The sequence below is a fragment of the Homo sapiens genome, chromosome 3 (assembly GCF_000001405.40).
Source record: "Homo sapiens chromosome 3, GRCh38.p14 Primary Assembly".
In the NCBI taxonomy this organism is placed as follows: Eukaryota; Metazoa; Chordata; class Mammalia; order Primates; family Hominidae; genus Homo; species Homo sapiens.
Window position 1 is genome coordinate 30,289,928 of NC_000003.12, and position 20,686 is coordinate 30,310,613.

Genomic DNA, 20,686 nt, shown 5'->3' on the forward strand with positions numbered 1-20,686 from the left:
ATAGCATGGTGTGGTTTTAGGTGTACAACTGACCACTGCTGCTTTTGGTTTGAATTCAGGAAAGCTAGGCTGCCACCACTGGAACAGAAACTTCTTCTTCTTCTTTTTTTGATAGTGAATCATAAATTATATTTCAAAATGTAAACATCACTAAACATGCATACATGTTAAAACAATAAAATTTACAGTTTCATTCATTTTTTTTCTTTTTACATAGAACATCATTACAATATGGAATCTATGCCATACAAAATACAAAGTTTTATCCAAGCAAGACAAGGCCAGACTGGGAATTGTACAACTGCAATATTTCAGTGTAGGGATCCAGGAAAAATGAAACATGACCTTCGGAAGCATGGTGGGTGCTAGTTAAAAAATAAATAAATAAATAAATAAAGTTCCTACAGGAAAGAAAAACGAGCTCCAGGGAAATGATCTCGGACTCTTGGATTCTGCCTTCGGCTTTGGCTTCCAGAGAAGCTCCACCAATGGCTTCGGATGGGAAGGGGGTACCTGTGCGGGTCTGGGGCAGCTGGGACCCCAAAGCATGCATTCCAGCACATGCAAACAAGGAATTCCCAGTCACCAAGGAGCCACAGCAAGCCTCGAACCCGACAATGACAATGCATAGTTGCTCAGTAGAGAGACTCCCGCCTGCTGAGGCTGACCAGCTGCAGCGGCCCCAGCACTTGGCACCAGGGGCCTCCCCAGGGTGAGGCCAGGGAGCAGACTCTCCCTCAAACACACCCAGAGGCAGGCACCTGGACCTGGCACGGACGCTGGGGCTGATGAGCCCACGTGATGTCCGAGCCACCTGGGAAGTAGCCCCTTGCTCCTTTCAGAGGGCAGCCAGGTACAGTGGCTCCTGTGCTGAGTGCGTGGCCGCACAGGCATTGGGTTCACACATCCGCTTTCCAAATAAGCACTCCCAGTGGCCTGTCAACGGGCCCTCTAGGAAGAGGCCAGGGAGAACAGGACCCTGAGTCCTGGGAAAAAGCCTTTCCAGCGCCCCACCCCCATGACTTCCTCCCTCCCTCCCATGACCCCCCTTAGGTGACGCTATTTCTCTCCCAACCTGTTTATTTTAAAATAAAAGTGGTAAAGTTTTGAAGCTGTGCGAGAAAGGGAGAAGCAGGGCAGGGCCAGGTGGCCACACTGCAAGTCTGAAATCTTGATAGGGGGTCAATTGAAACCAAGTATAGACCCTCTTGCCTCGTGGACACAGGGCTCCCGTCTCCTGCCAAATTCAAGTCTTCTGACTAATTAGGGACAGGACAGCAGGCAGGAGGAGGCGCCTCACCCTAAAGGGTGCTCAGGCCTGTATCAATAGTAAGCTGGACTGTGAATCCACGTTCTGGTACCAAGTTCTCTGGAACGGGTCTCAAACAAGCCTTCGAAGCCTCAAAATCAGGTAAATTAGTCATAGGACCTGGTTCTCCCTGAAGTAATCCTGGTTTCAAAAACCATCAGCCCACATCTCAGATTTTAGCTTTGGAAAATATGGTGACCAGAATTGCATATGGAAACGGACAGCAAAAGATGTGGATAACCTACAAAGCGTTTCTTACTGGCTGCGATGTGACCAACACATCACACCCTTTAAACTAACTTCTAGCACTGTCTTTGACTAAATGACCTTTTTAAATGGAAAAAAATAAAAAATCAGTGACACCTGCCAGATGTCAAAATAGGTAGCCTTGTAAACACAGCCACAACCAGCAGCGGAGAAACAAGTCCATGCTACTGCTCAGATCACCTCTTCCTTAGAACAGACACTTCAAACATCACTCTGCAAGCTCTAGCTGAACAAATGTTTCTCAAAAACACCAGCTGAAAGGGTGGTGGAAAGCATTGAGGGACACAGAAAAAAGAAAAGACACTAGGGTGGTAAAGAAAGAAAGAGATCACTTGAATTCTTTTTGTTTTCACTGTTAGGCACTTTATCAACTATATTGTGTGCATTACATTGTGTAATTCTTTCAATAATGCTGGAGAGAAACACTTTAACACCATTTTACAGATGAGAAAAAATGAGGTTCCAAGAAGTGATGTACTTCTCCAAGGTTAATCAGCTAATACCTAGGTCAGGATTCAAACCCAGTCTGGAGGCTCTAGTGGCTGTCCATTTTACATACTGATTCCCAACAGTATATGAAGCAGGAAGTGCAAGTTAAATTAGTTTAAGCAAAAATAGGAATGTATTAATCCCATAAGCAAATCATGAGAAGGAGTAGAAAGAATTAGTCCCATAAGCAACTAGTTCCAATGGATATATAAACTGTTGGTTTGCTAACACTCTTTCTTCCACTCTTCCACCCCTCCTTTCACCTTTCCTTTCCTCTCATCTCCATCTTTTTGTTTCTCACTGCATGTTAGCTTCATTCTCTCCACCACATTTTCCCATCTGTCTAAATCCATTACCATAGGCAGCGTTGATGTTGCATCATGCTAGGTAAATACAACTCTTTCCTGCCTTCTCCTCAGAGAAATTACTTAGGAAATGACTATTATTGTTGTGGTTTGGTTGCATATCTACTTCTGAACAATAATGGGAATGGTTACAATGACTGATTCAGGCTGGGTCACGTACCTAAACTTGTGACCAGGGGTCTCTAGTTTTAGAAATGGAAACCCCTTTCACAACCACGATGTTGGAGAGGGAAGCAGCTACCTCAAAAGAAGGGAATGAACGGTTGAGACCAGACAATATAATAAGTGGCCACTCTCTGGTAGAGAAAGACTTTGGAGGTGGGTAGAAATATTTTAACTCTATGCTGCTGCTTCCTGAGTGTGACATTGAACTTGAGTCACTGTAGTGAGATATGAGGCAAGACATTTAAATTCCTGTCAATGCTCAATAACTAATTGCTAACTAAAATAATGATAAAGTACTAGTTAAATGCAAGGTTCTAGTATTGTTGATATAGTTTTGGTCTTTAATTTAAAATTTTTCTTATCACGGTCTAGATGGGATACAATTTCAAAACTGTTTTTTTTCCCTACACTGTGGCCACTTTCCCCAAGCAGTATGTTCAAATAGATAGTAAGCTCCTGGAAAGCATGGACAATATTTTCTGCATCTTTTCTCTTCCCACAGCACAAAGGGCTGGGCTTAGGACTGTGTTAACAATACTTGCTTAAAAAGCACTTGCTAAGTTGCATCGTTGAAAAGATTTACAGACTAGTCACATTGGGAGTACATACCCAAATTTAGCATTGCTTCTGCTGGTGTTCTATGTCCTGGGCACATAAGGATGTCTGAGAATAGGTATTCAGAGTGTTAATATTCACTTTTACAGAAAATGAGCAAATGGGTGATTTTTATCAATTTCTTTAACCTAAACTTGCAGAGTCATGTGAAATAGTTTTCATGTTCAATAACATTGTTGCCCTAAAATTGAGGAATATTATGAATGTTAAGCTAAGCCCTGACAACCCACCTTGTGTTATGAGTTTTCATTATTTAACTTTACTCTTCTCATGGTCATTTTAATACATTTCCACATATTAATTATATTCATGCTGATGTCCTGAAATAACCTCAGCCAAGTTCATTATATATTTTGATGGAAAAGCACTTAAATCTAGATGACAATTTATGTTTTACAAATTGGATTTGGAATAACCATTGAAGAGCTTTCTCTAAATAGACTCTGATTTTGAAATTCTAATTAAATGTTATATTTTGTTCTACAAAAAATAAGCACCTTCATTATTTTGGATGAAATTACTGGGTATCTCACCCAATTATTCATAGCTTTGAAACATGAGTTACTGCTTCTTGTCATTTTGTCAGTGGGTTGAAAACCCTCTTCCAGGAATGCCGTGAATTCTTGATGAATACTGAAGAGACAGGAGATCTGGGATACCAGGGTTGATCTGCACTGTGTGTGTAGGAAGTTCAACTGCTGTAGGTGCTGGAACATTAATTTGGATGCCAACATTTCTTTTGCATAAAAATGGGATGTATGAATCTCCTACTTTGCTTCGGTTGGCTTGAGTCCTTTGTCTTCTGAACACTTTCAATAAAAACTCTGAAGAGCTTCTCATCACTGTAGAATATAGTACAACTGCGTAAAGTTGCCCTCCAGGACCTGCAGATTCCAACCTCTGCCTGACTCCAAAGTCGTCATCTTGCGTCATTCTCCCTTCACCCACATTGTGCTCCAGACACATTTTCCTTCAGTTTCTCTAATAAATACAACACGCTTCTCACTGCTTAAGACAGCTGTTTATAAATAAATTCCCACTGCCTGGAATGCTCTCCTCTCCTTCACCTGGCTTACTCTCCCTTGCTCTAAAGTTTCTGCCTAATAGGATTTCATCCTGACCTCCCAGACCACGTGAGGCATATTTTCATAAGACTATGTGTTTTAGGTTTGAATTTCTAAGGGAAATTCAAACTATTACTAAGGGAATAGTTGTTCCCTTAGTAATAAATAGTTTTGTCCCAAGGTTAGTAGGAACTGAGAATAAAGAGGAGGAACACTTGGATTCTTTCAATCCTCTTTTTCCTTCTTTCCAACTCTAGTTCCCCAGAGAATAAAGTCAAGGAAACAGGAACTGAAAAAAAAAGCAAATGCTTGAAGGATAGAGTTGGCTATGCGTGAGCCCACACATCCTGCAGCTTTCCTAGCCTAGTGGGGATAAGAGGAGTAAGGCGCACTTCAGAATGAAGCCACAGTGGGGAAACCATCCGTGAAACTACTTCACCTGGGCAATTATCAGTCTCTGCTGCCTGCTGGGTCTTTCTACACGGCTCTGAGCACTGAGCTCCTTGCCTTTAGTATTGATGCTCTAGGCACAACCTTGATCCCAACTTATACTTACTAATTTTAGCCAGCGCCCTGCTCTGCCCTTATTTTACACAGTTTACTTAAATGAAGAGCATATTCTGATGACTACAAATGTATTTCAGCTTTATAATTTTCATATGCAATTTTCTATACTCACAAATAATATTTTCACACAATTCCTGAAACTTAACTGGCAATAATCCAAAGACTTATGGATAGATAAAAGGGAAGGAGGCCTCCGATGAGTTGAGGACTGATATGAATCTACAATTTGTAACCTATCACACATCTCATACTTTCTTTATTAGTAAAGATTGAAATAATTAATTATGTACTTTTCTAATTATTTGTTCATTGTTTGTTTCCACCCCAGTAGTCTGTATACTTCATGAGGTTTGTTCATTGTTTTATCCCCACTGATTAAAATACAATAGATGCTCAATGAATATAGAGCAAATGAATAAATGATACAATAAAATGGGAGAGGGAGGAAGAGGCTGTAGGAGAAAACAAAAAAAAAATTCTATGTTTTTACTGTATTTTCTTACTAGCTCAGGGCTGCAACAGTATATGCTCACCAACTCTTCCTCTAGCTTCTCTTGCTGTTCTTCTCCAAGCATAAATTTTAATTTCTTTATCATGGGCTTAAGTGCTCCACAACTGAAGAAAATAAGTCACTCATTTTTGTGGCTGTGGAGATAACACTTTAAAAATTGGTTTTCAAATTTGCTTAAATCTTATTGAAATGTATAGGGATATAAGATATTTTAGTGTAAGTCGTAAGTATTTTTTGTTTTTGTTTTAAACCTAATCTAAAAAGTTAGTTGTGAGTAGTCATTATTCACAGATACTGAAGGAGTTCAATATGCATTCCATATTGTATTTTCAAATTGCACTTTCAAATTGCATTTGAATAGAAATTCAAATGCATTCAATGCATCTCATATAACACAAGAGACCAGTAAATAGATTGCAGAGGCTTCCTTGAAATGCAGATTTAAAAAAAAATTGTCTCTAGACTAGGAAAAATTAGTTGTAGTGGTGTGTATGACCATGGAAATTCATCCCTGGGATTGCAGCCTACATGTTTGGGCTTCCCTTTGAGGTGAGAATAAAAATTAAAGCATGGATTGAGCAACAGTAAATTCCAACAATACTTCTGAGTAGCTGAAGACAGACTAATGTTATCATTGGGGTTCATTTTTAAAAGTTTCTGACAACAATCTAATCTGAGACCTATAAAAATAGTTTGTCAGTTTAAAACATCAAATTGAGTTGCAAGAGATATTCTAATACAGGTCTAAAAATAAGAGTAGGAATTTGGATGAACTGTGTGAGTGCTCATGTTCATTCCAGTTGATGGCTTGGTGTTAGAAAAAGGCACCCATTGTGTGTGGAGAAGGAAGGACCCAGGCAGGAGCGTAGCAAAGGCCATGGGTCAACTTTCACTCCCACCTTGAATAGGTACTTGTACACGACACAAACCATGGAAACATAAGTTATGGCTCTGCTTCCAGTTTTAGCAAGATATGAAATACATTGATAAAGTTTAATAAGAATGATTCCTGTTGGGGTTTGATACTTTTTAATACATTTATGCTCTTTTAATTAGGCTGAGAGGCAATTTTACAAAATTATTAAAGACATGGGCTCTGACCTAAGACAGAACTTCATTTAAATTCTGAATTTGTCACCCTCTAATTCAGTGACCTCTCTGGGCTCTCTATAAGCCTCAGTAACTTCAACTGCAATATTGAAATGATAGTGTCTTTGTTAGTAATTCGTGGTGAGGATTAAATAAAATCAGGTATGTATCATGCCTAGCACACTTTTTGGTACATGGTAGATGCTTAATAAATGGCAGTTGCTGCTATATTGTTTTTTAATGATAGTTTTAATAGGAGCATTTTAAAATAAAAGGATGCTTATACTGATATGAGTAAACCACACAGATCACCCACACAATTCAAATGATTGGTTACAATATATCAATATATCAAACTAGTTTAATGGAAATATTTTCTTGAGTACTTAATTCTATCAAGAAATAATAATGACAATTAAATAAATGGAAGCCCTTTGCTGGTCTTTGGCAATAGCAAAATATATAGCAAATTGTCCATATTTATGAAGCAACCTGCATATCAACCTGTCATAAAAATGCAAAATATAATGAACTAGGAAGGGATATAGCTATATACTAGAAATGTCCACTTCACTTTTTACACTTCAGCAAATATTACAACTGCTCTTATTTGAAAATACGTTTTATGACATCCTAATTTTTCCACACAAAGAAGAAGTTTATTTCATAGGCACACACACACACACACACACACACACACACACAGCTTATGTGAAACTATCAGAGCACACAAAATACAGAGGAGGTAGTGTGGGGCTAGTACTTTATATTTCAGCTCTAGCTTCACAGGCAGTTATTTTGTAAGTGGATTTCAAAAAATAATTACATTAATCAAAACTCTATTTAGTTTTCTATATCACTATTGATTTCACCTACACTTGTCAAATTTATATTCTGCCTCTTTAATTGCCTACCTCCTACTGCCTCTCACTTTCCTGAGCTGAGTATATATATTTGCATACCACAAATATGCTCACGGTTGTACTTTGAAATAAGATGTCTCTGAAGCCAAATGCAAAGAAACAGAAATTCAGTTTATTTTTCCCTACCTCTGTTCCTCATTAGACCTGCTCCTGAAATTCTTTGATTTATTCTACTTTTTTAAAAAAAAATCTACATTTGCTGTATTAGCAAATGATGATTGCATTATATTCAGTTCTTTATAATTTGAGAAATTATCTTATTCTTGGAATAACATTTTAAACCATGAAAATTAAATGGCAAATAAGATTTTTAGAAGCAGCTTAAGAAGCTGACATAAAAGTGATATGTGATGTCAGTAGAGAATGCCTATAATTTAATGGGTGGGGGAAGAATAATAAATGAGGTAATATTATAAAGTATAATATTTGGAGGAACCTAAGTATAGAGTAATCAGTAATTCTTTGCACTAGCATTGCAATTTTGTTGTGAGTCTGAAATTGTTTCAAAATTAAATGTAAAAAAAAATAATGTCAGGTAAAAATTTAAATGATGATTCCTTGTGTTCACTTAAGGTTGTGGTTGTGTGGTATAATTTGGGGGAATATGATGTGATTAGTGAGGCTTACAGGGAAAGCACCCAATACGAGACAATCAGATACCCCATATCAAGGCTCAGCCATTTTTAAAACGTGTTCATCTCTGTTTGGTAAATCCTGGTTAAGGTATAAATAATTTCAAAATCCAGTACTACTCTTACAAGTCACCAACAACAAAATAAAATAAAATATAAAATGCAAAGGAATTCAAGCAAATTTTGCTTCAAATACAATTCCAGTCACTATCAAATATCCTGGCTTATCATTATCAAAATAATATTATCAAAGGAAAGCCACCCAATTTGCAAGCTACACACTGCCAATCTCAACTTGATTAAAGTCATATTTATAATTAATTATTTTTTCTAGTTACTGGACTTTTTAATCTTCTTGGTTGTCTCTAGGAAACCCATCAGGCATCCAGAACCCACAGCTCTGCCATCAGAACTCCATCCTGGGAACAGAAGCCGTCTATCTGCATCTGTAAACATGGCCTCATGTAGTGACGTGCAGGGAAATGAGTGTGCCCTTGCAATGGTTCTCAGTCCTTTCTTTATCTCAACATCATGGCATTTTATGGCTTCCCTCATGAGACAACTCAATTATTCTCACAATTTATCTAGATTTCTGGAAAAATATGTTGGAATGTGGCCTTCCTACCCCATTCCCTCTGACAACAGGTTTATTGAGGAATATATTTTACTTTCATATTTTTATTTCAGAGGAAAAATTTCTCCCCAGACATTTATTTTCCCCATGGTTCTCTAAGAGGGAGACATGAATGAGGAAACCATAAAATAAAATCAGATAAGGTGGGACACCAAGATAATCATGTAGCTTGATTTTGATGTCTGGACCTCTTTTTAAAAGTTAAGGAAAGAACAAGTTCTTGTTCTCTTTGCAGGTAAATCCACGGGAACCTTCTCAGTGCAGTGGTAATACAGAGTATAAAGTAGCCCTCCTTACTCTTAAGAGGAAATTTTGCCTCTTCACCTTTCCAAAAGAAATGACGGTAATTGTTCTTTAATTCTCAAACAACCTTATCTTTTGGTAGCTCAATAATGGCAGCATCTGGTATAACTTGGATGCAAGGACTGTTGGCAAGATCACTATAATTTCCAAGATTTCCAGAAATTTTCAATTAAGACTGTTAAAAATAAAAAAATACAGGATATGATTTTCAAAGCTGGAAAATAAATGCCTGATTATATGGAATGGTCCCCTTTTGAGGAAAGAAACTGGGAATAGTTTGGAGCACAATTTGGCATAATGAAGGGAATGTAAGGTTTAGTCCTGCAGTCACTAATTGTATGACTTCAGGCAAATTACCCTTTCTAGGCCTCAGTTTCCTTATCTGAAAAATGGGGATGATAATAATACTGTACCTACCTCATAGGTTGCTTTGATGATTAAATGAGCCAATACATGTAAAGTACTTGGAAGAGCACTTGCCTCTAGTAGAGCTTGTTCTTATTATCAACACTACAGGAGTTACTAGGAATACATGATTAATTCTGCCTGTAGCCTTTTCAGAAGACTTAGCATTAGAATTTTATTTTGAAGGGCACACCAGTGCAGGAGCATAGGCTTTTTTCTCAAACATCTTGATAACACCAGAAGACATTTGCCGATTTCAAATTGACAACTCATGACAATGTGTAAGTTCTAAGTTTCAACCCAATACTCTTTGCCTCAAGTTGTTCTCCTTCCACTTTAGAGAAATCATTACTTCCTGTGTTAAGCAAATGCCTCGAAATCATCTCAGAGTTCCCCCGTGAGTGATCCTAGTTTTGAAGAGACTATTCTCAACCCACCTGTCAATTATGTCAGTGTAAAGGCATCCAGAACATCTGTCCTGAATTTTCCCGGACTGCACCTGGACTTCAAAATGATGGAAGGTGGTGATCTAACTGTGCAGAAAACATTGTGAAACAGGCCACATTCTCAAACTGGTTTGAGAAACTTTTAGAATAAAATGTGTCTGGCTAGGTTTATTCAGCCTTAGTTATTACTCTTTGTGTATACACAAGGATTTCAAACCATCAATAAATGACTGCAAGTGGTTTCTAGTCATATCCAACCAACAAAAAGTCTTCCCTTATGTGTCAAAAGCAAGCAAACCTCAAATTGGTAAGTTTTCTTTTCCTGGAGAGATTCTGTGGAATATGATACCTGAACAATTAGAATGAGAACATAGCGAAGGATGAAGCAACCTTATAGTTCCATAAATTCTAAACATAGAAAAATAAACTGAAAATTCCAAATATTTAAAACCTTACGTTTACATTGAAATTGAAAGAACTCAGAGCAGTCTGCTGTGTTCAGCATAAAAGGCAGCATTCATAAGGGAGGGAAAGGTACAAAGTCATCCAGCCTGGAATGACAGAATGGATATGAAGAAAATTTATTTCCTTGTAGAAATGTTCAAAGCAATGCTACATACTTTTCCTTTCCCATAAATTTATAGCATTTGAAATTATTTTTGTACATTTATAAATTCTCTCAAACATCACTTAAAATGTTTAAAAAGACAAAATTAAAGTGTGGCTTTGGGGAGGTCAATGTAGAAATGCATTAATTGTTTTGTGATGAAGAAAAGGAAGTTTGAGTAAGTGGTGTATAATGTAGTCCTTTGACAAGATAGAAAATGGTCATTTTCAAAGTCCATTTATTTTTTTCATTAACTTATTTAGACCCCACTGTGTTGCGGAAATTTTATATACAAGATAGATTTATTTTGGTCTTCAGGGGAAATGTCAGGAAACAGATGATTAAATGAATGGATATGAGGCAGTTTAGGAAATGACAATATAGAAACATCCATCTGATGCTTTGGGACCTTAGAGAGGTCTAACTCAACTCAGATGGGGAAGAAGAGGAGACAGGAAAAGTCCCAGAGAAGGCAATGCTGAGCTCCTACCCATTCCAAAAGATGGATTAACATTGGCAGAAGGAGGTGCTGGGAAGACTCCTCAGGCATGAGAAAAGCTGGAGCAAAGTCCCAGAGCAGTGAATCTGTGACACATTCAGGGAGGAATAAGTATTTCTCCTGAAAATGCCATGTGGGAATACAATATGGAAGGTAGAGAGTGGCAAGGGGTGGGATTGGGAATCTGGAGTGGGGCCAGACCTTTGAATATGTTAAGAAATGTGGACTTTATCCTTCAGGACAATAGGGGATGTGGAAGAACTGCAAGTAGACAATAGGGAGAAAACAAAATCCCTCTGGCTACGATGAGGAAAGGAGTTGGTGGGCAGGACACAGAGATAATAGCAGGAAGGTTCCCATGGAAGCTGTTGTAATAGCCAAGGTTAATTTTTTAATGTTTTATTTTGAAATAATTATAGATTCATAAGAAATAGCAAAATAAAAGAATGAGACCCTATATACTCTTAAATGGTAACCACTTCCTTTAATGGTAACAACTTACAGAACTATAACAACTTACAGAACTATAATGTATTATAAAAACCAGGAACCTCACATTGGCACAATGCTATTAACTAGAATACAGACTTTATTTAGATTTTACCAGCTTTTACATACATATAGGTTTATGAAATTTTGTCACATGTGGAGATTCATATAATGACCACCACGATAAAGTTACAACTTAAGTGAGGTTTGATAAGGACAGGAACAAAGAAAAGACGGAGAAAAGAGGAGAGATTCACTAAATATTTAGGACATAAATGCCAATAGTTAAAAGCATGGATTCTGCAGCCAGAGTTTCCCAGGCCGCATACCAGCTATACCACTGACTAGCTTTGTGGCTGGGGATGCTGTGTAACCTCTCTGTGCCTCAGCTTTCTTGTCTGCAAAATTGAGATAATAGTAGTACTTCCTAAAGATGCAGTGAACAATAAACTGGTTTATAACAAGCATAGAGCAGTAGCTAGCATATGGTAAGTGTTGTGAATGTGTTAGCAATTACTGTTAACTAGAATCTAGATAGAGACCGACAGGACATGGAAGTGAAGAAAAGGTCACATCTTGGGCTTATGCTACTTAGTAGATGGCACTGGCATTTGCTGACATAGAATGATAGGTTAAGTAGGGGAGGGAGGTTAGTAAAATTTGATGTGCCTTTTTCATCCAAGTGATGAAATACAAAAGAGGGTTAAATATTTATAATGGAGATGAGGTTCAGAATAATGTTTGTGCCAAATTTGTATCCCCTACAAAGTCTAGTAGGAAGCCCATCTAGAAAGAAATCTGATTTCTTATGGCAACAGTCTGTAAGAAGGGCTTTGGCTCTAGTCCCCATGGTTTGCTCAGTATATAACATAAGCATGACCACAAACATCAGACTACACCGAATGCAGAATGTAGCTTGGGAAATCCCTGACAGGTATGACTCAGGGAAATGTTCACTTTCGTTGGACTTCAGGTTCCACATTATTGCTGATGTTTGCTGATGTTTCCGGGAGCCTTGATGTCATTCTGTATCTCCTCAGGTATCCCACCTTGAGACGTACTTTTCAAAAACTCTCTACAGCCGTTGTTGTTATTAATTCAAGGTTGAACATAAAGTAATCTGCATCCCTGTAATGGCTTCTCTTTCATGTGCAAGTTATGGAGACATGCAATTTTCTCTTTGCCATATGCTATGGTAAGAAATGGCCAATCAAAATACAGCCCAGGAAGCAATGAGTGGTCTAGGGAGAGGGCACTTGTGCCAAGCTCTTCCAATCCTATTCTGTCTTTTGGGAATTTAATTCACAAAGAGCTAAGAGGAGGATGGATCAGCATCACCTTCAGGAAGGCCTCGGGAAAGAGTATGAGGAACCTAGCCCCTGACTTGGCATTTAGCCCTTTTTTTGTATCTATGAACTACTTCAATATCCTTTTAAAATTATTTATTTATTTTTTATTTTTTTTGAAACAGGGTCTACTTCTGTTGTCCAGGCTTGAGTGCAGTGGTAGAATCACAGCTCACTGCAGCCTTGAACTTCCAGGCTCAAGGGATCCTCCTACCACAATCCCCCAAGTAGCTGGGACTACAGGCGTGCACCACCACATCTGGCTAATTAAAAAAATATATATTTTTTTTGTAGAGACAGGGTCTCACTATGTTGCCTCAGCTCATCTCAAACTCCTGCCTGGGGTCAAGCAATCCTCCTGCCTTGGCCACCCAAAGTGCTGGTATTACATGTGCGAGTCACTGTGCCTGGCCCTGTATCCTTTTAATACTTCTCTTTTCTCCTTTATTTAGCATGCTTTCTGTTCTTTGCAACCAATGAAACTTAAATCTTAAGACTATACTTTTTTTTGTAGTGTAAAGTAGTACAAAATTTGGAATATCAATCTGGCAGTATGTGTCAGTATTATAAATGTGCTCCTATTTGGCTTAGCAGTTTTTCTTCTAGCAATTTATATCAGAAAAATACTCAGACGAGTTCAGAGATATACATACATAGGATGACTATGAATATAAAATTTGGAAATTGAATGCCAAGAAAATGGTCATTAAATAAATTAGGAGTTAGCAATGTGATTGAATATTATGAAGTCATTAAAAAGGATGATATATACATATTTACTAACTAGAAAGGAATGCCATGAAATAGTAGTAGAAAAGGCAAACTACAAAACATCTTAGATTCAGATAGCATGATCCAATTTGCATGATACAGCATGGTGGGTATGCATGCGTGTGTGTATGTGGGTGTGTGTGTAGCCAGAGAAATATGTTTGAAAGGAAATATGCCAAATTCTTAAAAAATGGGGATTATCTCTAAGTGATGGGTTTTATTTTTGTCTTTATTGTATATTGTGTATATGACATTCTATATTGTATTATGTTTTAGAAATGAACTTATATTTGTAATCTGATTTTTTTTGAAAAGTAAAATATCTTTTCTTATGCAGAAATCCATGTGCATTTTCTTCCATTGCATGAGCACATTTTGCCCACAGCTAAGATGGAGACTGATGTTTTACAGTGAAATGAGACATTTGCATACATTCATATGTGCCTTGTATTAATGAAGAGCATTGAGCCCAAGGCCTTAAATATGTCAGAATTACAGATATGGCCTGTGTATTAGTTTATTATGGTTGCCAGAACAAACAAACTTGATGACTTAACAGAAATTTATTTCCTCACAGTTCTGGAGGCCATAAGTCCAAAATCAGCATTACTGGGTTGAGCACAAGGTGTTCATAGGGCCACATTCTCCCTGAGGTTCTAGAGGAGAATTCATTTCTCACGTCTCCCAGCTTCTGACGGCTGCCAGTATTCCTTGGATTGTGGCCACATCACTCTAATTTCTGCCTCTGAGTTTACATCACCAACTCCTTTTCTGTCTGTAGTCAAAATCTCCCTCTTCCGCCATCTTACAAGGACACTGTTGATTGTATTAAGGACTCATCAGGATAATCTCCTCATCTCAAGATTCCTTTTTGTTTGTTTTTTTGTTTTTCAGAAAACCACTCAGACTGCCTCCTCTCCCTCTTACTCTCCAGGGAGGAGAGAAGAATGATCATCAAGGGCAGAAGGCAGTTACATCGAAGCAACACTGAAAACTGGCTTCATGCTCAGGAGAGAATGCTGCGCTTTTTCCTCGTGATTTGTGGTGCTCTACATATTCAGAGAAACTTCTCCAGTAACAAACTATAGAAATGATCCCTCAAAGTATAGTCTTCAAGATTCTTAATCACATCTGAAAAGAGCCTTTGTCATGCCAGACCCTTGCTGACATCGATAGGAGTGACACCCTGTTTGACAGGCTGAAGAAGAGACCTAGAGCCGGTGAATGAAATACAGGGTTTATTGAAGGAACCCAGTGTCAATGGGCTGGATAAAAGAACAGCTACCACTTGTAAAAAACATGCAGTTTAGGCCGGGTGTGGTGGTTCACGCCTGTAATCCCAGCACTTTGGGAGGCTGAGGCGGGCAGATCCTGAGGTCAGGAGATTGAGACCATCCTGGCTAATACTGTGAAACCCCGTCTCTACTACAAATACAAAAAATTAGCTGAGCGTGGTGGCACATGCCTGTAGTCCCAGCTACTTGGGAGGCTGAGGCAGGAGAATCACTTGAACCTGGGAGGCGGAGGTTGCAGTGAGCCAAGATCGTGCCACTGCACTCCAGCCTGGTGACAGAGTGAGACTCCATCCCCAAAAAAAGAAAAAAAAAAAGAAAATGCAGTTTATGTGGCATTTTCACTTAGCACCTTTCTCATATCAGCCTACACCTCACAACCTTCATTTAACCCAAAACAAAGGGTTTTGATCCCCTGTATGGCTCATGTTCCATGGGATGGGATGGGGATTGAGATGTTCCTCGTAGATAAGGAATGAATCTCCGGGTTGGCCACTTCCGGATTCCTTAGCTTTGGACTCCACACACACATTCTTTTTAGACCACAGGGTCAATCTAAGGGTATCAAGTTAAGTTATTGCTGTCAGGTGTGTTTGCCATACAGAGTCATTCTCAGAATATATGCTTAAGTTATTGCTGAAAGGTACATCTGTCATATGCCCATTTTCCATATAACATAACATTTACAGGTTTCAGAAATTAGAAACCAATATTTTAGGGAGATTATTTTTAGCCTACTCCTGTATACCATCCTAAAAATAAGAAATCCACACTAAATTTGCCAAGACTATTGATTTGCCTTTGTATCTATTGGAAACACACACTTGAATCCATTGATTAAAACAGCACCACAAAGTAAATTTAACAATACATTTCAAGTTTTGAAATGAAGCATTCATCATTTTACAGTTCTAAGAAGATAAAAGTATGCATTTGTGTCACATTTATGTGACACTTCATAAAAAAGTGTTCAGGAATCTAGAGGGAATAGATAATCTCAGTTCTAGGAGAAAAAAAAATGGCACAGGCAAATGGGGTAATTAGGGAGATTAATGAAAGAGAGTTTAGGGAAACCAAAAATGGATAGTGTGATAGCAAAGGGGTGGAAATATGCCCCCTAGCTTTGAAAGGGGCAAGGGAAGGGAGAGAATACCAAAATTTAGAATACCAAAATGTAGATAGAGCTGAGGCTGTGACTGTAGCTTCAGGAGAGGACTGCTGGATAGGAGCCGTGGCCTTGGTAAAGGAGCTCAACCCCTCCCAGGCTTCCCTCTGGAAGGCGGAGCAATTGCCTTACAGTGGCCAAATCAATGGGAAGTCAGGTGACAAGGAAGCCCATTGATGCTGTCCATACAGATAGATTAGCCTCCTAGAAGATGATCAACTTGGAGAAATGTAGAAAATGAATCTAGCTCTAAGGTCAAGAAAAAAATATTCCGTACTTGCTGCCAGAGAACTATGAGGAAAAGCATAGTATCCTGGAATCAGAGGGAAAAGAGTATTTCAAGAAGGCAGGTAGGTTAATATTTCAAATGGAGCTGAGAGGTCAAGTAAGATAAGGACTAAGAGATATTCATTGACTTTTAAGACAAGGAGATCTTTGGTGACCTAAGTCAGTTCTGCTTAGATGCAGTGGTGAGTGATGACACTGGATTGGATTAGTGTGAAGAGTGAGGTAAGCAAGTGGAGACAGCAAAGGCAGACAAGAAAATTCATTCAAGTTTGTTTTGGATGGGAAAAGAGACATAGGGCAATAGCTGAAAGACAAGAGGGGATTGAATAAAAATATTTTTCTCTCCCAAGTTAGGAAAAATCTTAACCAGGTAAGAATGTTAATGAAAAGACAAAGGTGAGAGGGAGTAGGGAGAGAACCGTGGAGAAGTGTCCGTCATTCTCACCCAGGAAAGATTGCTCTGATGAATTAGCCATGTCTGTTATGGACATGAGGTGAGAGCGGAGGGATGAATGTGTGTTACTGATTCTAATTCAATCTCTATTTTATAGATAAAATTGTGTCCTACAGATGGCGAAAGTGGGGAGTCATTTGTTCATTATTCAGGTAACTAGTAAGATGTCTTGTTACTTTCAGTCCAGGGAGTCTTAAAATTGGGCACTGTGTTTGTTTGTATGGCTGTAAAGTAATACCTGAGGCTTAGAAATTTATAAAGAAAAGAGGTTTATTTGGCTCACAGTTCTGCAGGCTGTACAAGAAGCATGATGCCAACATCTGCTTCTGATGGCCTCAAGTTGCTTCCACTCATGGCAGAAAGTGAAAGGGAGCTGGTGTGTCACATGGCGAGAGAGGGAGGAAGGCAGAGACAGCCAGAGAGTTCCAGGCTATTTTCAACAACCAGTTCTCTTGGGAACTAAGAATAGGAATTCACTCACTCCTACAAAAATGGCACCGAGCTATTCATGGGGGATCCAACCTCACAATTCAAACACCTTCCAATAGGCCCTGCCTCCAACATAAGGGTCACATTTCAACACGAAACTTGACAGGACCAAAGGAACTATATCCAAACCATAGCAGGCATTATTTCCAAAATGATGCCACTCCTATATGGGAGAGAGGTGAAGTGATTTTATATTTTTCACTGATTACTACTTTTATTTAATAATTATGCACTAATTTTTATAGTTGCAATATACTATTGGCCCAGGATACTGGGTTTCCTTTTATGGTGGTAATATATAGTTTTTCTCTTAGTTAAATGCTTTTAGGCAACAAAAGTTGATTTAAAGAACTTACAAATAAGAAAAAGTTATACAGATATTACTCAACTATGACAATTGTGAAATTGTGAAGGTGGCACATGAGTGAATGACATTTGAGACATACTGCATTATACATGTTGCTTATCTGCAGAGTTAATTTGGTGTTTATTGGTGTAAGAACAAAGTTGAAGGGTCTAAGTCTTCTGTCTATAATCTCAACCTTGAATTACTGTCTTAAGCAATTAAAAATGCAAACTGCACCTGAAGAATTAAGAAGAAAGGATGAAACAACTCTCACAGCATTTTGCTGAGTGGACAGAAGGATCATCTTAGCAATGGATTTTATCACATAATTAAAGAGGGATTCCCTGATTAATTAAATGAAGAGGCAAACTCATTTAAACTGGTGATGCTAAGAAGAAATTACTGCAATATTTTTCTTCAGCCAAAATAAAGTGAATAGATATAGCTCTATACAACTTGAGTTTTTGTTATCTACAGTGTAGTCCATTTGATGACAAATTTTCAATACTTACAGATTTATTCAGGCCTATTAAAAGCCTCAAAGCAACCAGGAAGTGTTACAAATATCTGAACAGAGAGTTGGATATTTTGAATGCTGAATATATCATTAGAATCAGAGCTAGTGCACCAGCTGTGTTAGTGCAACATGACTGCCCTTGGTCCTATGCTCACGCTGGTGACACTTGCCTTTTAATAATTCAGTCACATTATATCCTTCACCAGCTGAGGGAAGCTCTATTTTTATTTTAAAGGGCTGTTTCTTATCCAGAAAAGTAATAACAAGGCAAAACATTTATGAGAACAGTAAATCAATTTGTTTCATAATAATCAGAGTTACACAATCATCATTACTATTTCTTTGTAATCAGTCAGCTTCACATTGCAGATGGAATGTTTTAGTCATCTTTAGGGTAATAAACTCCTGATTCTAAGAGGCCTTCTTCTAAGTCTCAAAGTATCGGGACCCACCTCTAAGTTACTGAGGACTTGACCCTTCCTACAGCCCATTCTCTTTTTCATGCTGAAATGTTCAGATTCACCTACTTCTGCATAGATGTCCTGTACTTTTCACTCAGAATCAGGCTCAACTCAGCATTCTATTTCTAGATGTTGCTAGAAATTTAACCTAACCTCTTGAATCATAAGTGGCCACTGAAATTTGCTTGATATTTTCATTAACTCTGCTTTGAGTTTCTAGTTCCCAACTGTTTGCCCCTAAAAATAGTGTATTAGTTTCCTTGCTATTACTTTTCTGTATGAGAAATTACCAAAAGTGGATGACTTAGCAGATATTTATTCTCTCACAGTTCTGGAGTCAAGATTTTCTGTGTTGACAAAGACATGTTCCCCCTGAAGGTTCTAGGGGAGAAAACTTCCCTCCCTCTTCCTAGCTTCTGATGGTTGCCAGCAACCCTTGGTGTTCCTTGGCTTGTAGACGCATCACTCAAATCTCTGCTTCTGTTGTCACATGACATTCCTTCTCTGTGTCTGTTTCCTTATCACTAAATTAGGGCCTAACCTAAACCAAAATGACCCCATCTTAACTTAATTACATGTGCAAAGACCCTATTTCCAATTAAGAGTCATGTTCTAAGGTACAAGGTGGACATTAAATTTAGGGTGACACTACCCAACCAGATATAGATACCATAATTTCCATTGGCTTTGCTTTGGCTGAACTTTGATTTTCCCAACTTTAGCAATCAGAGGAAACCAAAAGCCTAACTCTCTGGGAACTTGCTCAGATCTAACCTCTTTTCTTCCTACTGTGAACTAAAATGAGATGCTGTTGACACCACCATGCTGATATGTCATGTGGCCTGTGAGATCTTAAATGTTCGATGTGGGAGAATGGATCTGTTATGAAACTTGCAAACCTGTCCTAAGGCCAAAGATCAAGAGAAGCCAAGCCTCTTTCCTTTTATGAGTTTTTTAAGCATATTAAAAATGAAGAAATCCCAAGTAGGTTTAAAAAATTTAGTAGGACACACACACTATTGTACCTATAGGAGATTCTGCTAGCAGCCTTGTAATTTCAGAGTTTGCCATTCACTAGATTGAGACACTAGGATGGATCTGTCAGATCAAGCCATAAGGGCAAGAAACAGAGTCTAGAGATATTTCCCAAAGCTGGCATTACTGAGCACAATGTACCTTGCCATCCATCACTAGGGCTGGGTGCTTTATGTTCATTATCTTTCAACCTTAAACGACTGTGAGATAGGCGTTGTGATCTCGATGTTACTGATTATAAAGCTGAGACTTAGAGAAGTATAGTGAAAAACTTTTCAAAATTATTTTGGAACAGAGTGGAGAGAAAGATATTAAGGGTTGTCAAGTTGGCTCAGACCATGTGAATGCTATTAGTTCCTTTTTTGGTTCTCCCTAACTTTATGTTACAGTTACTATCCAGTCTTGTGAAATGGGTAATAATTGGTTATCATATGGCTGGGAGAAAAGCAAATAAATGACAAATTAGTTTTGTGTCTGAGAATGGAAAAGCGCTCCAATTCTTAGCAGTCTGGGTTTAGTCTCACTCTGTGTCTCTGTGAATACAGACTTGTGCTTTTGAACTCTTAACCCAAAGTAATCCTGTGCACCAAAGCCCTGTGTCTTCCCTGCCAGTAAAGGTGTGAAGACTCCTCTGGTGTATTCCCTGCTGTGGATATTACTGTCTGATCTCTCAGTGGCTTTGCTCTCTTTCATCTTTCTCAAGTCTCTGACTTGAAATGCACTCTCAGCCATGCCAGCATTGAACTACCAAGTAAGAGTGTACCCTCTCCTCCTGGGCCTCAAGACTCCACCTTCAACTTGATCCTAATTTAATAACCTCAAGCCAGCATACCCAGTCCTCTTTCAGGGAGGAAAGATTATCTATAATTGTGAGAGTAAAAAATAGACCCCCACCTCTTTTCTGAAGCCAGCAGGAATCTCTGTGTTTAGTTGGGTTCTTTTTCCCTCCAGGATCATAGTCTGGCTAAGCAAGTGAAAAGGGAAAACTAAATTTCACAATCTTGCTGATAGGAAAAGCATGAGAGATACCAAAAAGTCATATCTAAACACACAGACAAAGAGCAATAATTTTCCAAAAATCAGGCTTAACAGCACAGGACAAGCAAGAACTGGAAATGGGGTCTGGAGGCAACACATGGGGAC

At 38.5% G+C, this 20,686-nt stretch overlaps 1 long non-coding RNA gene and 1 other non-coding gene across 3 annotated transcripts; one reads left to right on the forward strand and one right to left on the reverse strand.

Annotated features, from left to right (window-relative positions):
* Positions 1-2,639: 2,639 nt before the first annotated feature.
* LOC124909358 (uncharacterized) lies at positions 2,640-15,648 on the forward strand. Of its 2 annotated transcripts, none has more exons than XR_007095854.1 (2): positions 2,640-2,748; positions 14,391-15,648. It is a non-coding gene; the product is annotated as an uncharacterized LOC124909358 (long non-coding RNA). The 2 variants fall into 2 exon arrangements; XR_007095855.1 differs by lacking the exon at positions 14,391-15,648 and adding an exon at positions 8,366-8,787.
* On the reverse strand, positions 14,394-14,609 carry LOC124906377 (small nucleolar RNA U3). The gene has a single exon (XR_007096341.1). It is a non-coding gene; the product is annotated as a small nucleolar RNA U3 (small nucleolar RNA).
* Positions 15,649-20,686: the final 5,038 nt, after the last annotated feature.